This window comes from Homo sapiens, chromosome 7 (assembly GCF_000001405.40).
Source record: "Homo sapiens chromosome 7, GRCh38.p14 Primary Assembly".
NCBI classification, from domain to species: Eukaryota; Metazoa; Chordata; class Mammalia; order Primates; family Hominidae; genus Homo; species Homo sapiens.
Genome location: NC_000007.14, coordinates 87,346,086 through 87,360,250, shown reverse-complemented (window position 1 = coordinate 87,360,250; position 14,165 = coordinate 87,346,086). Strand labels below are relative to the sequence as shown.

At 38.3% G+C, this 14,165-nt stretch overlaps 1 protein-coding gene across 4 annotated transcripts in view; it reads right to left on the bottom strand.

Annotated features, from left to right (window-relative positions):
- The window catches only part of CROT (carnitine O-octanoyltransferase), a 54,131-nt gene that overhangs the window by 39,544 nt on the left and 422 nt on the right, over positions 1 to 14,165 (bottom strand). For 2 of the 4 annotated variants that reach the window (NM_021151.4, XM_011516337.4), the window contains exons 2-4: positions 13,821 to 13,911; positions 11,068 to 11,203; positions 921 to 1,045 (exon numbers count right to left, since the gene is read on the bottom strand). In NM_021151.4, the coding sequence (NP_066974.2) occupies positions 921 to 1,045; positions 11,068 to 11,182 (240 nt within the window). In that variant the 5' untranslated portion in view covers positions 11,183 to 11,203; positions 13,821 to 13,911. Of the gene's footprint in view, positions 1 to 196; positions 1,046 to 2,660; positions 2,745 to 11,067; positions 11,204 to 13,820; positions 13,912 to 14,165 lie in introns of those variants that run through there. The other 2 variants (NM_001143935.2, NM_001243745.3) reach the window with 2 other exon arrangements.

Genomic DNA, 14,165 nt, shown 5'->3' with positions numbered 1-14,165 from the left:
AATTGAATTCCATGCATAAGTAAGCACATCTTATCAAATTACCTGGAGTCTTGTTTGAAGAAAGTGATGTTATAAACTATAATTAGTAATTCAGAAAGAGACATAAACAAAAAAGATACAGATAAAACAACAACTTCTTTACCTTTACCCCTCTTTAATTAAAACAACTCAAGGCTCAAAATTGAGAACAAAGGAATCCGGAAGTGTGAAATTTTATTATTCCATCACAGATATAAATGGTTCATCAAAAAAAATCAGCTTGCTTTTTATTTCTAAAACTAAATGATAGGTACAATAATTATTTCTAGACTAAGGCAATGCTTTTGAATTATACAACCTCATCCTCTGATTCATAGTAGAGAAGTACAGAAATGGTTGAGCTGAAGAAGTTAAAGAATTTTGTGGAAAATTATTGAGACCTTCAATAATTATTATACTAGCTTCCTCAATTTATCTAACTGAAATATACAATATACATAACCATTCTCCACTCTGATTTTTAATGATTCCCTTTCTCCATTGTACTACGAAAATATTTCTATGCCACCTATGTGACATGTCTATTTTAGTGTTTCTGATTTTTCAAGCTAGTCACCTGGACAAAATGTTTTCCTTCAGCATGGTCTACAGATTACCTGCAGCCAAACCACATGAAGTGATTGTTAAAATAAGAATCTCTGGGCCTCATTCCAGCCATGTGAATCAGAATCACTTATCCCAGCAAATCTGCATTTTAACAAGTTCCCGAATCCACCCACTGAAAACTCCCAAAGTTAAGTGATTCATTCCTTCTTTTGGATTATGAAAATAACAATAATAACTGTAAAAATTTTTACAGCAATAATTTAAAAATAAAAACTATGCACTTTTTATTTATCATTCTTTAAACATCATCATTATTCAATTATAACAACAAATACCCAATTTCTTTTTCCTTTTGCTCTTTCAAGCAATTTCTGGTGCAATTTTTCTCCAATCCCACTTTGAAATTTTTGAACTATTTCTTCAGTTTTCTTATATTCTTCTTGATTTGCAAATGGTTTCACTAGAAAGGAAAAATACGTATTAAGGTATTTAGACCAAGTACCACCAACTCACCTCTATTATTACTAACTTATGCAAATCTTAAGACTCAGATATGTAAAACACAGTACTGTATTAAATAGCAGAGCAGAACAATAAAATTAAGAGTTGACAACATGAAAGTGGCGGAAAAGAAACAAAAGATTTGGAAATCCTTGCTTGAGAGAATGGGATTAGCAAGTCGGGAGGGAGCCAGGGAGATGGGCAAAGGACTGCATTTTTCATCACAAGCCTATTTACACTATCTGGCTTTTCAAACTCTGGAAAAATTAACATAAAGAGAGAAAAAAAGTTGGATATTTTAAGGACATGGTTGACTCGAACAACACGAGTTTGAACTGCACAGGTCCATTTATACCTAATAAAAGTTGATAATGAGTGTGCTTGCCTCTCCTGTCCCTACTTCCACCTCCTCTACCACCTCTGAGACAGCAAGACCAGTCCCTCCTCTTCCTCCACCTACTCAACATGAAAACCATCAGGATGAAGATTTTTATGATGATCTACTTCCACTTAATGGATAATAAATATATTTTTCTCTTCCTTATCATTTTTTAATAACATTTGCTTTACTCTAACTTAAATAATTCAGAAAATAATACATATAACATAAAATTATCTGTTAATCAACTGTTTACGTTATAAAGTTGTACTTGAATTTCTTTTCTTTTTTTTTTTTTTTTTTTGAGATGGAGTCTCGCTCTGTCGCCCAGGCTGGAGTGCAGTGGCGTAATCTCAGCTCACTGCAAGCTCCGCCTCCTGGGTTCACACCATTCTCCTGCCTCAGCCTCCCGAGTAGCTGGGAATACAGGCGCCCGCCACCACTCCTGGCTCTTTTTTTTTTTTGTATTTTTAGTAGAGACGGGGTTTCACTGTGTTAGCCAGGATGGTCTCGATCTCCTGACCTCGTGATCTACCTGCCTCCGCCTCCCAAAGTGCTAGGATTACAGGCGTGAGGCACTGCGCACGGCCTGTACTTGGATTTTCTAATACACATGGGTCAGCACCACCAGCCCTGCATTGTTCAAGAGTCACCTATACTTTATTACAAGTCTAGATAAAGAAGCAATTAAACCTTCAACTTCTAACAGTGTTGTTAAGGAAGCAGGAGCTTAGGAGAGCCAGAGTAATGCCGTTTTAATTTCAGCTCCATCTGGAGACTAACAAGGCACAATTCCTTGCTGGTCATGACCCACATTAAGAAGATATTTACAGTTGAGTGAACAGCCTACAGATACCTACAAGGACACACTCCTAAACAGCAGAAAGTCCAGGTATCCCAATACCCATAACAATATATGTTTTCAAGATAATTACAGTTATGTTTGGATGTATTTACACACTAAAATGTCAAGGATAGTTTTATTTAAATCAATAGAATAATAAATTGTGTCATGTTGTCTGCTCACCCACATGTAGACGTAGCTTAGTTTAGTCTTTACATAGATAAAGGCTCTATATAAGAAAAACTTAAAATAAGGATGGTGCCTTCCTTTGCTTGCCCTCTGAGGACGCTCTACTCCGCAATGGAGTAGCTTTCAATAAGCTGTCTCTTCTCACTGCACTCTGCAACTCACCTTGAATTCCTTCCCGCGTGAGATCCAAGAACCCTCTCTTAGCATCTGGATCAAGACCCCTTATCTGGTAGCATGTTCTGGTGACTACAAAGGGACATTAGGATGAGATCCCATGCTGAGGAGATTCAGCCTGCACAGCACTAATTGGCCACCTCTGATAAATGGGGTCTGTCTTGGCATCCTATCAAGGATAATATTTCTAGCCCAATGGGGTTAGAGTCTCTAGGGTATAATATTTGGGTTAGAGTCCCAGCCCAATGGGGTGAGAGTCCCTGGGGTATAATAAAAATTAAAGTAGCCTTGCAAGATGTACGCCAGTATATGCTTTGGACTAATCCACTTTGTCCCCTTTGCCAGATATGGGAAAGCTATACTTCTCATCACTTCCCAACTTGTTGCCTTTGCTTTACTGCAGCTTTACAGTGGCCCCTATGGCCAGCCCAGAGGTTTACTGCATTCACTTTCCACACTTGCCTTCTGACTGTCACCTTTTCGTTTGCTTTGTCATGTCTCAGGATAGCATGGGGAACCTGAGGACTTACAAGATTTGTTCTTGATATATATATTTTGAGACAGAGTCTCGCTCTATCACCCAGGCTGGAGTGCAATGGTGCAATCTTGGCTCACAGCAACCTCCGCCTCCCAGGTTCAGGCGATTCTCCTGCCTCAGCCTCCCAAGTAGCTAGAATTACAGGTGCCCACCACCACGCCCAGCTAATTTTTGTATTTTTAGTAGAGACAAGGTTTCACCATCTTGGCCAAGCTGGTCTTGAATCCTGACCTCAGGTGATCTGCCCACTTTGGCCTCCCAAAGTACTGGGATTACAGACGTGAGCCACTGTGCCCAGCCTGTTCTTGCTATATCTTAAACATTGCAGGACTCAGATGCTTTTACACCCCATGTTAAAACAGGCAGCAATCTTTATCTGCTTGCCCCCTGTGGAAACCTGGAGTCTCATTCTCTTATCTGAAGCTTCAGCCTGTTATCATTCTGGTGGTTACTTTTGCCCTGCAACTATGAAATTAAACAGAGTCTTCTAAAGCTCTCTATTTTTCTCTTCTTTTCTGCCTGATTTGAATCTGTTATTATTAGTCTACTAGTATTGAAATAAAACTTGATGTTTAGGTTACTTAGAGATTTTGTTTTTCTTGTACAGTTCAACCAGAACTGTAAAAGAAATGTACATGTTAGAAACTCATTTGAAACTGAAAAACAAAATGTGAAAAGGCAAAACAAACAAACAAAAACAAAAATAAAAAACCCTCAAACTTTCATGAAGACTACTTTACCCAAAATTTTGGTCTATGGCTTTCCTGGCATGACTCACTGGATATCTGAGTCATTTCCAATTAAGAAATGTTTATAATATGGGAAACATGTTTCTAAAATGTTGGCAGCCTGGGCAACATGGTGAAACCCCATCTCTACAAAAGATACAAAAATTAGCAGGGCATGGTGGCACCTGCCTGCAGTCTCAGCTACTCAGGAGGCTGAGGTTGGAGGATCACCTGAGCTGGGGAGGTCAAGGCTGCAGTGACCTGTGACTACACCACTGCACTCCAGCCTGGGTAACAGTGAGATCTCATCTCAGAAAAATAAAATAAAATAAAATTGTGGAATGATTTTATCTATAAAATGCTAACATCTGACAAATAGTTCTAGGTTTCTTGCTTCCTAAGTTTTTGGATTCATGTATAGGTGAGTGCTCTTTGTTGTCTCTTCCATTCCCTTTGTTGTCCCTTTTCCTTTCTGCAATATACTTTGCAATATACTCAGCCTTCTAGGCCCCAGGAGACACAGGAATACTCATATTCCCCAGGTTGAGGTTAGAGGCCCCACCCAGAGTTGGATAACCTATTTGAGTCTCAGAGTTGTATTTGTCAGTACCTACTGTTTCTTAATCGGCTGTTATTTGCTGTCTGTGTCTCGCTAGTGACACATGTCGCCCTGTGCTTGCATGCCCTGAAGTTTACACCTGTCATTTTTTTCTGGTCTTGATGATTTTCATTCTTTGGGTTATTTAATTCAGCATCTCTCAATTGAGGGAAGTGAACATTCTCCAAGTTGAAAAATAATAATAATTTTATATAATTTAGAGCTTATTTAAAATTTACCTATGAAAGAAGGTAAAAAGGAACAAGTAGGGAGAGAGAGATGTGAAGAAAGTTATGAATATAAAAATGTACTTTTGGCCGGGCCCAGTGGCTCATGTCTGTAACACCAGCACGTTGGGAGGCCAAGGCAGGTGGATTGCTTCAGGGCAGGAGTTCAAGACCAGCCTGGGCAACATGGCAAAGCTCCATTTCTACAAAAAATACAAAAATTAGCCTGGTGTGGTGGTACATGTCTATAATCCCAGCTACTTGGGAGGCTGAGGTGGGAGGATCACTTGAGCCTGGGCTGTCAAGGCTGCAATGAGCCGTGAATTTGCCACTGCACTCTAGCCTGGGCAAGAGAGCGAGGCCCTATCTCAAAAAAAAAAAAAATACATATTTTTGGTAAGAAAGGTTATACAGAAGGGAATACTTTTGTATGAAAAAGTATCTTGTATGGTAAATTTTTGTCCTAAAGTAAAATGACTGATTATTTAGGAAAGAGAGAAGTTTAGAACAAGTCAGAAAGTCCAAGCATGTCATAGACGGTTTGTGTAAGTCATGATAAGATTTGTGAAGGGGAATTCATGAAAGGAATTTTGTATGTGATTAAATTGGTTACAGTGAAAAGAAAATCATTTATAAATAAGTCTTTCTAAATTTTGGTCCCCGATGTTAAAACAAGATTTTTTTATGGTATTAATCTGCTCTTAATAAAATTACAAGAAATTTTACTTTTACTTTTATAAACTGTTTCTTTTAAAAAGTCTCAGAATCATATCCCAGAAGTTCAGCTTTTACTGTGTCTCACTGCTTTTTGCTTTTTTGAGGTCTGAGATAATTCTTTCCTTCAGCTTTCTCATCAACTTTTTTTTTCTCCAGTTCTAATTTTACTGTTGTTATGAGCTAATGCTAAAATATTTTATCTTGAAGGTCTAGAAAAGCAATGTTTACCTCTAGTATAACTTGATTCTGTACTTTTGGCTTTTAAAATACATCTAAATTGTCAATGTAATCAAAAAACTAATGCTGTTCCTAAGAGTGAGGTAATCCTATGCTATAATCATAACCTTGAATATACTCTTCCTAGGTCCAGTTAAATCCAAGCACTTTTTTCATCAGGTTTGATGTCCAGGTTATCTAAATGGGCTTCCCATAAGCAGAAGTAGTCACACTGCAGAATTTTTCTTTGCCTTTTTGGTAACTGTCTTAAGAAACAAGATTGTATAATTCCTATGCTGTCTTTATTAGGTTTTTTTGGTTGCCAAAACTAAGATTTAAAAGGCTTAAGGTTTTTACATCATGTAACCTTCTGTATTGCTTCTAAAGCATTTTCATTATCACTTTGGCTAAATGAGTAACTATTATTTTACAATGACCTCTGCTTCTGTTTTGATCAAATGTTTTCAGCCTTTTAACATGTTTAATAAACAGCCTCAAAATCAAAATCCTAAATTAAGTCTCTGACTTAGTCTTATTGCTGGGATTTATTAAAGTTATAAAAATTAATCACTACAAGACTGTAGAATCTTTTTACAGCTTTTAGTCACACCATGAACTCCATTATCACCATAATATAGTTTGGATGTCCCCTCCAAATCTCATGTTGAAATGTAACGCCCAGTGTTGGAGGTGGGGCCTGGTGGGAGGTGGCTGGATCATGGGAGCAGAGCCCTCAAGAATGGCTTGGGCTGTCCCCTTGGTGACAAGTGAGCCCTCACTCTGATTCACACCAGATCTGGTTGTTTAAAAGTGTGTGGCACCTCTTCCTCACTGTCACTCTCTCTTTCTTGCTCTTGTTGTCACCATGTGAAGTGCCTGCTCCTGCTTCACCTTCTGCCATGATTGTAAGGTTCCTGAGGACTTTCCAGAAGCCGATACCAGCACTATGCTTCCTGTATAGCCTGCAGAACTGTGAGCCAATTAAACTTCTTTTTTGAAAATAAATTACCCAGCCTCAGGTATTTCTTTATATCAATGCAAAAATGGCCTAACACATACCACCTCCACCCTGATAATTATATATACTAGAAAAGAATCAGTTAAAGGGCCAGGCGTAGTGGCTCACACCTGTAATCCCAGCATGTTGGGAACTGGAGGCAGGCGGATCACTTGAGGTCAGGAGTTTGAGACTAGCCTGGCCAACTTGACAAAACCCCATCTCTACTAAAACTACAAAAAGTTAGCTGGGCATGGTGGTGCATGACTGTAATCCCAGCTACTCAGGATGCTAAGTTGGGAGAATTGCTTAAACCCAGGGAGCAGAGGTTGCAGTGAGCTGAGATTGCACCAATGCACTCCAGCCTGGGCAACGGAACGAGACCATGTTTCAAAAAAAAAAGAAAAATAAAAGAAAAAAAATCCGTTAAAGGACTCCCTCTAGTTCCTTAAAAGGGTCCTTATCAAGTGCTATTAACTAATCCTTGTGCCTTACAGTTACAGGGCTTTGACTCCTGAGTACATATAGCTCATCTAAAGAAGGCACTGACTCCTGCCAGTATCTGATAGCAAGCTGAAGCTAATCAAAGCCTTGTCTTTAGACCTGGACAATCAAAGTAAACTATTTTCATGAGACCTACAGACAGAGACATAGGGACAGGCCTGTATTCAAAACATTAAGATTCATTTAATAATTTTGCCTATATCTGAATATAATTTTCTATGCCTTGATATTAAATAATTTAAGTATTTGGCTACGTATGGGCTTCTTTTCATGTCATTCTCATAACTAGGTAGGGCTTATGACATTTTTGTTTAAAACATTAATTCCTTATGTTTTGTTTTCCTCTATAATTTGAAACTATTTAGTCCTTCCAGGCCCAGAGACTACCACATGAGATTGTAAGGGCTTGTTGTGGGGAATAAAATCAATTCAGACCCTCCAAATCAAGGTCAGGCAAACTGCCTCTATAGCTGAACAAAATGTTGTATTTTATATGGCTAATTGCTACAAGTCAAGATTAAAATAGCTTAATGTATAGAATTTATAAATAAGCAAATTTTATAACCGTCCCATTTGGCTTTTGGCTCTTATGTTGCTTAAAAGGGGTTTTAAGGTTAAGGAGTGCCTGCCCACCTCCATTCCCATCTGGCCTAGAAAGTTTAATTGGCCATAAGTCTTTTGTTTAAGTCCCTTGGCCATAGTGGTCCCACCAAGGGACATGATGGATCCAGGGCAGGTAGCACACCACCCTGACATCAATACTGGACAAAATAAGAGCTTGGCCATTGATGGCATACCTTAACAAAAAAAAGGGGAACTATAAACTAAAATAAATAAGTTTTTAAAAGTTCTAAGCCCTTTCCCAACAAAATGGACCCTCTTCTTGGCCAAAGGGCATCCAAAACACCTGAAAACTAATTCAGGCCATGAGGGGAAGCAGGGAGATTGGACATGACTTGCCATATCTTTCCTCTTCTTGGAATTCAGTCACAACTGACTAGCTTAGCATTAAAATAGAAATCATAAGATTGACAAAACAGACTCTTTATGGCAATAAAATACCAAATTATAAATAGAATCTAAGATCACGTAAGGCAAGGGTTAAGTCTCTATTGCAGGGTAAACAGTCATATGTTACATGCACGTTTGTTCAATATTCATGTGTCAGAACCACCTCCATAAATATTCATAACTCTGCTGTTCAACCAGGTGACTTAGTCATATTAAAGACTTGGAAAGAAGGACCTCCTATAGACAACTTTCTCCAAAGTGGAGAGGACCCTATCAAGTGCTTCTAAGTACCTCTAGTGGAGTAAGGGAATACACACTTGGGTACATTCATCCAAAATTAAACCTGCCTCTCATAAAGTCCCACAGGCATTCAACGTGGTGACCACTGTTCCAGCACACTCTTGTGAGCCAATAAAGAATCCTGTGGCTTCTCTTCAAAAAAAGAATCCATCCAGTGGATAAGTACTACTCTCAAAATGAAATTACTAGTTTTAATATTAAACTTGATCTATTATAATATTAGAGCTAATTTGTTTACAGAATGGGCACAAACTACGGCCTCCCTTCTAAACCAGAAAAACTGTTGGGTACGCAGTGAATTACCTCTTTCATCAACCTCAGGCTTACCTTGGCATATCAAATAGGCTAATTTAAGCCATTCCAATTCCAATGAATGGTTTATAAGAGATAAATGCTTTCCTTTCCTTTTCTTTTTTTTTTTTTTTTTTTTTTTTGAGATGGAGTCTCGCTCTGTTGTCCAGGCTGGAATGCAATGGCACAATCGTGGCTCACTGCAAGCTCTGCCTCCCGGGTTCACGCCATTCTCCTGTCTCAGGCTCCTGAGTAGCTGGGACTACAAGGGCCCGCCACCACGCCTGGCTAATTTTTTTGCATTTTTAGTAGAGACGGGGTTTCACCGTGTTAGCCAGGATGGTCTCGATCTCCTGATCCCGTGATCAACCTGCCTCAGTCTCCCAAAGTGCTGGGATTACAGGTGTGAGCTACCACACCTAGCCAATATTTCCTTTTCTAATATATCAAAAAGACACCAGCCACTATCCTTCCCTTCCTCTACTGAAACAAACAAAAAAAACACCTTTTTCAATTATTCTGTAGATAACTAAATAACATCACCACTTTAGGCTATACCATTTTTGATGGGCTTAGTTGATTAATGGCTACCCAAATTCAGGTGACAGGTAAAGTACTCTTATGCCTTGAGAGACATGACACCAGCCACTTCCAGGCTGAAACCTACAACATGGGGTGGTTGCCACCCAACAATGCAATCAGACCCTGGTCTTAACTAATCAAAGTGGACAGAATGGCAAAATAAATCTCTAAGATTGCATGCTCATCCTTCTCCTTGGGGATGGTTATGGGCACATGGGTCTCACAATTGGCTATACCTACCTTACAACTGGACTGGACAATGTACTAGGGGTCAACATTACCTTCTACGACATATTGTTATACATCTAAATTCCTTCCTCACCAACTGAAAAATAGTCAAGGCCCACCATAGTTGATGACAAAACAGGCTTCTTGGTGGTTTTATCCTATGGCCATATTCTCTCTTCAAGCAGCAGCTATAGACATTGAATTACAAATAAAAGCTCTAGCAAAACATACTGGTGCGGCTTTCAATGACACTCATCAGGCTATCACACTTCTGACAGGAGAAACTTCCCAAATAAGACCAGTGGGCTTGCAAAACCATATGGCTTTATACATTCTTTAACTGCAGCCAAGGGAGGAACTTGTGTCTTGAACAAAACTGAATATTATGTTCCTGATTACTGCCATAATATATCCCAGGACATGAGTTCTCTAGAAACTTGTATTTTGGCTATGGATTCCCGGTCTTATGACCCCATAACAGCATAGTTTCATGAGCTTTCCAGCACTTGGAAAGCATTTCTTTTCAGTATGCTTGGTATTATAATATTCATTGTTATTAGTTATTGTGCTTTTATTTCTGTTGTGTTTATTGTATAGGGTTGCAAGATAAAATAGTTTAGCAGCTGTTTCACCTTTCTATTTACTAACCTAGTATATTAACTTTCTAGAAACAATTGGGATATCATGCAAGCAAGGAGCTCCCTTACTCCCTGAAGAGGCTCACTGCACACTATTATGAGAAGACCCTGTCCCAACCATCAACATCTACTGCCTCCAGGAAGGAGTTACAAAAGAACAACCTTCACCCTTTATCTCCCCTTAAGGTTAAGGGTTCTCTCATAAGTAGAGGGGGAAATGTTGGGGAAGCAGGAGCTCAGGAGAGCCAGAGTAACACCATTTTAAATTCAGCTCCATCTTGAGACTAGCAAGGCACGTTCCTTGCCAGTCATGACCCAGTCATAAGATATTTACAGTTGAGGAAACAACCTAAAGATACTTACAATGACACACTCCTACAACAGTAGAAAGTCCAGATGTCTCAATACCCATAACAATATATGTTTTTGAGATGATTAACATAATTCTTTGATGTATTCATGCACTAAAATGTCAAGGATTGTTTTCTTTAAATCAACAGAATAATAAATTTTGTCATGCTGTCTGCTCACCCTCACATAGGCACAGCTTAGTCTTTACATCGATAAGACCCCTATGTAAGAAAAACTTAAAGACAGTCTGCTTGCTTTCTGAGGATGTCCTACTCTATAATGGAGAAGCTTTCAATAAACTGTCTCTTCTCACTGCACTCTGCAACTCACCTTGAATTCCTTCCTGCAAGAGATCCAAGAACTCTAACTCTCTCTTAGAGTCTGGATCGAGACCCCTTCTCCAGCAACAGTATCACAGTTTTCTAAGTTACTAATAATATTAATATATACTAAAAGATTATTAACATACCTGATTCAAGGTATTTTTTTAATGATTCTTCAAGTGAAGGAACAGGCAGTGATGGAAGAGAATCCTGGTACTGAAATGTTCGTTCTTCAGTTGATTTAGCCAATTGATTTTCCATGATAAAATCACAATAGGAAACCTAAAGAAAAGAGAGAGAGCCCTCACAACTTCAATCTCATAGATAGTGTTACGTATCCTAGGTACAATTCACAATTCACTAAACCAGTATTTAGGGACCACAGCATATCTAGGACTTGGTACCAGCTTTTATGAAATTTATAAATCTGTCAGATAGAGAAAACCAACTTAAAAAGAATGTGTAGACACAAAGTGCTAGAAGTAAAGAGTGATCAGTGGGACTGGTATAATTAGTTACCATTTATTGAACACCTAGCATTTGCCAGGTACTCCAGTTTGCATTACAGAAAACATGTGTTAGCTCTCTAACTTTTATGTTATCTCTGAAAGGTGGCATTCTTTGCAATTTTACATATGAATATATCAAAACTCAGAAATTTAGTAACTTACCTAATGTCAAACACAGGACCCAAACCCAGATCTGTTAAGACTACAATCTTTCCCCTATACAAAACAACATGATAGAAGGTAAGGGAACCTGCAGTAAATCTTAGTGGGTAGATAGTATTTGATGTATAGAAAAGGATTATGTGTTGATATTGCATTGATATAGAAAACTTTGGAGCACAAAGTACAAAGAGGTGTGGAAGTGTCCAACTGTAGAATTAAAGATTATTATAGAATACATAAATCATATGACAAGCTGCTTTAATTGCACAGGTCGTATGAGGTCTACACAGAATGGTCTCAAGTGTTCCAAAGCAATCTTGAACATATTGACACGTGTATTAATTGCTATCAAAGAAATCTAACTCAAAATGTGAATAAGGTATACAAATGCTAAATAAAAAATGAGGTTTCTCAAAGCCTTTGTAAATTATCATATATTAATTATATTAAATAATGTAATATATTAAATGTAATTATATGTTAAAATAGCAACTGAGAAATCAAAGAACGTTAATATTGAATTTGAACTTCCTATTCTCTCAAAAACTATTTTTTAAAACTGATAGCAACGCTAAACAAAGTATTCCACTCATAGGTTACAGAATCGAACACTATCAAAAACATGGACACAGAAGAGACTATTTTCAGCTAATACCTGTTTTCCTCTGCTTTAACAGAATCCTGAGTTGTAGCTGTGCATACAGCCCCCAGTTTTATCTTTCCTACCCTCTCTTGGAGCTCAGTGTGGCTTTGTGATGACCTTGTGTGTGTCACTTCCAGGTCATGCTCCCAAAAAGGAATGCATGTGTTCTCCCTGCACTTTCCCTCCTTTTTACTACCTGCTAGGTAGTGACGAACTAAACAGCACCATGGCCTCATTTATGGAAGTCATATATGCAGGATTGCAGAATCTCCCTACTAGTCCTGGACTCCTACCTCTAGATGTATGGAAAAAAAAAAACTTCTATTTTATTCATACCATTGTATTTTGGGCTTTCTATTGTAGGGAGAAGAGCTTAGCCTGTACCACTAATATAAAGAGATAATTTGAAAATGAGAAATAATAATTAACTCAAAGTTCTTTAGCTTCTTTCTATCTATTGACTTTGGCTGCACACCATTTTGACCATCCATAAAAATGGGTTTGTACCTAATGGAAATGTAGATCTGGATCCAAGTACAGACTCTGCCACTTTCTAGCCATGTGCCCCTAGGGCAACCAACTTTAAGTGAATTTCCTTATCTTAGAGTGGTTAATCATACAATTCAATAAAGTCAGAATTTGTTTTCAATGCCTGTGAAAGCACATTATAAAAACAAAATAATCCTGCCTGAAACCACCATATTGTGGTAGGCACAATTACTATGAATGGCCCCCAAGATTCCACCCCTGCTAATCCCCAGAACCTGCGAATATGGTGAGATCATTACTCCTGTGATTGTGATATTCTCTACAGAACTGACCTTAAAATAGGGATATTATCGAATTGGAACTAATCTAATCACTTGAGTCCATAAGAGCAAAGAGCTTTCTCTGGCCAGTGGCAGACAAGTAAGACTGCTTTAATGCTTGAGAAGGATTTGTGGTGTCTTTGAAGATGCAGATGGCCTTAAAGAACTGAAAGAGGCTCAGGCTGACAAACAGTAAGGATATAGAAATGTCAGTGTGAATTCTACCAACAATCTGAAATAGCCTGGAGGTGGATTCTCCCCTAGAGCCTCCAGAAAAGAATCCAAATCTACAGAAACCTTGGTTTCGGTTTTGTGAAATTCTAAGCCAAGTACTCAGCTAAGCCCACCCAAACTTCACATTTACAGAAGCTATGAGATAATACATTTGTGTTGTTTTAATTGTTGCATTTGTGTAATTGGTTAAGGCAGCAATAGAAGACTAGTACACACATACAGAGAAGATAAGCTATTCTGTTTACCTCTGTGCCACTTAATAGACTCTAGAAAACTGGAAGCAAGAGTATTAGTTACATACCCACTATAGTGCTTAACCCACCAACCGGTACACATTAAAAATATAAATTATTGGATTCTTTCTTGAAGAGTTTTCTTGAATTCTCAACCACAAAGATTAAGTTAAATAAGATGGTTCCAATAGCACTAAGAAAATGATTATGCTAGATTTAATTAGAATTGACTTTCTGGGGGCAATTAGATATGAATTCACAGAAAGTGGAAAAGAACCACGAACAATACGTGAAGGAATTGTCACATACCAGTACACCAAGAAGATGAACTGCTTGAGACTGCCAGGAGCCTGCTGCAACAATTGTTTTGAGATCACAGGGAACTGGACTAAGTCGGTGACTGTGGGAAGAAAGAAACAAGCTTAACAAATATTTAAGAGGGAAAAAGAAATGAACAAGCTAGTGAAAGAAGGTGGAATGCAGACAAACTAGGAGTTGGGAGTTCCCAAGACAAACTTTTCGTGAATCACTGCAAACACACGCAAATAGTCCACCTGCTAGAGAGCAGGAGTAAATGATCATACAATTAAGTAGGTTTCAGACAAGTACACCTTCCATTAGACGGGTTCAAAGGGTAGAGGATACGTTTTCAGT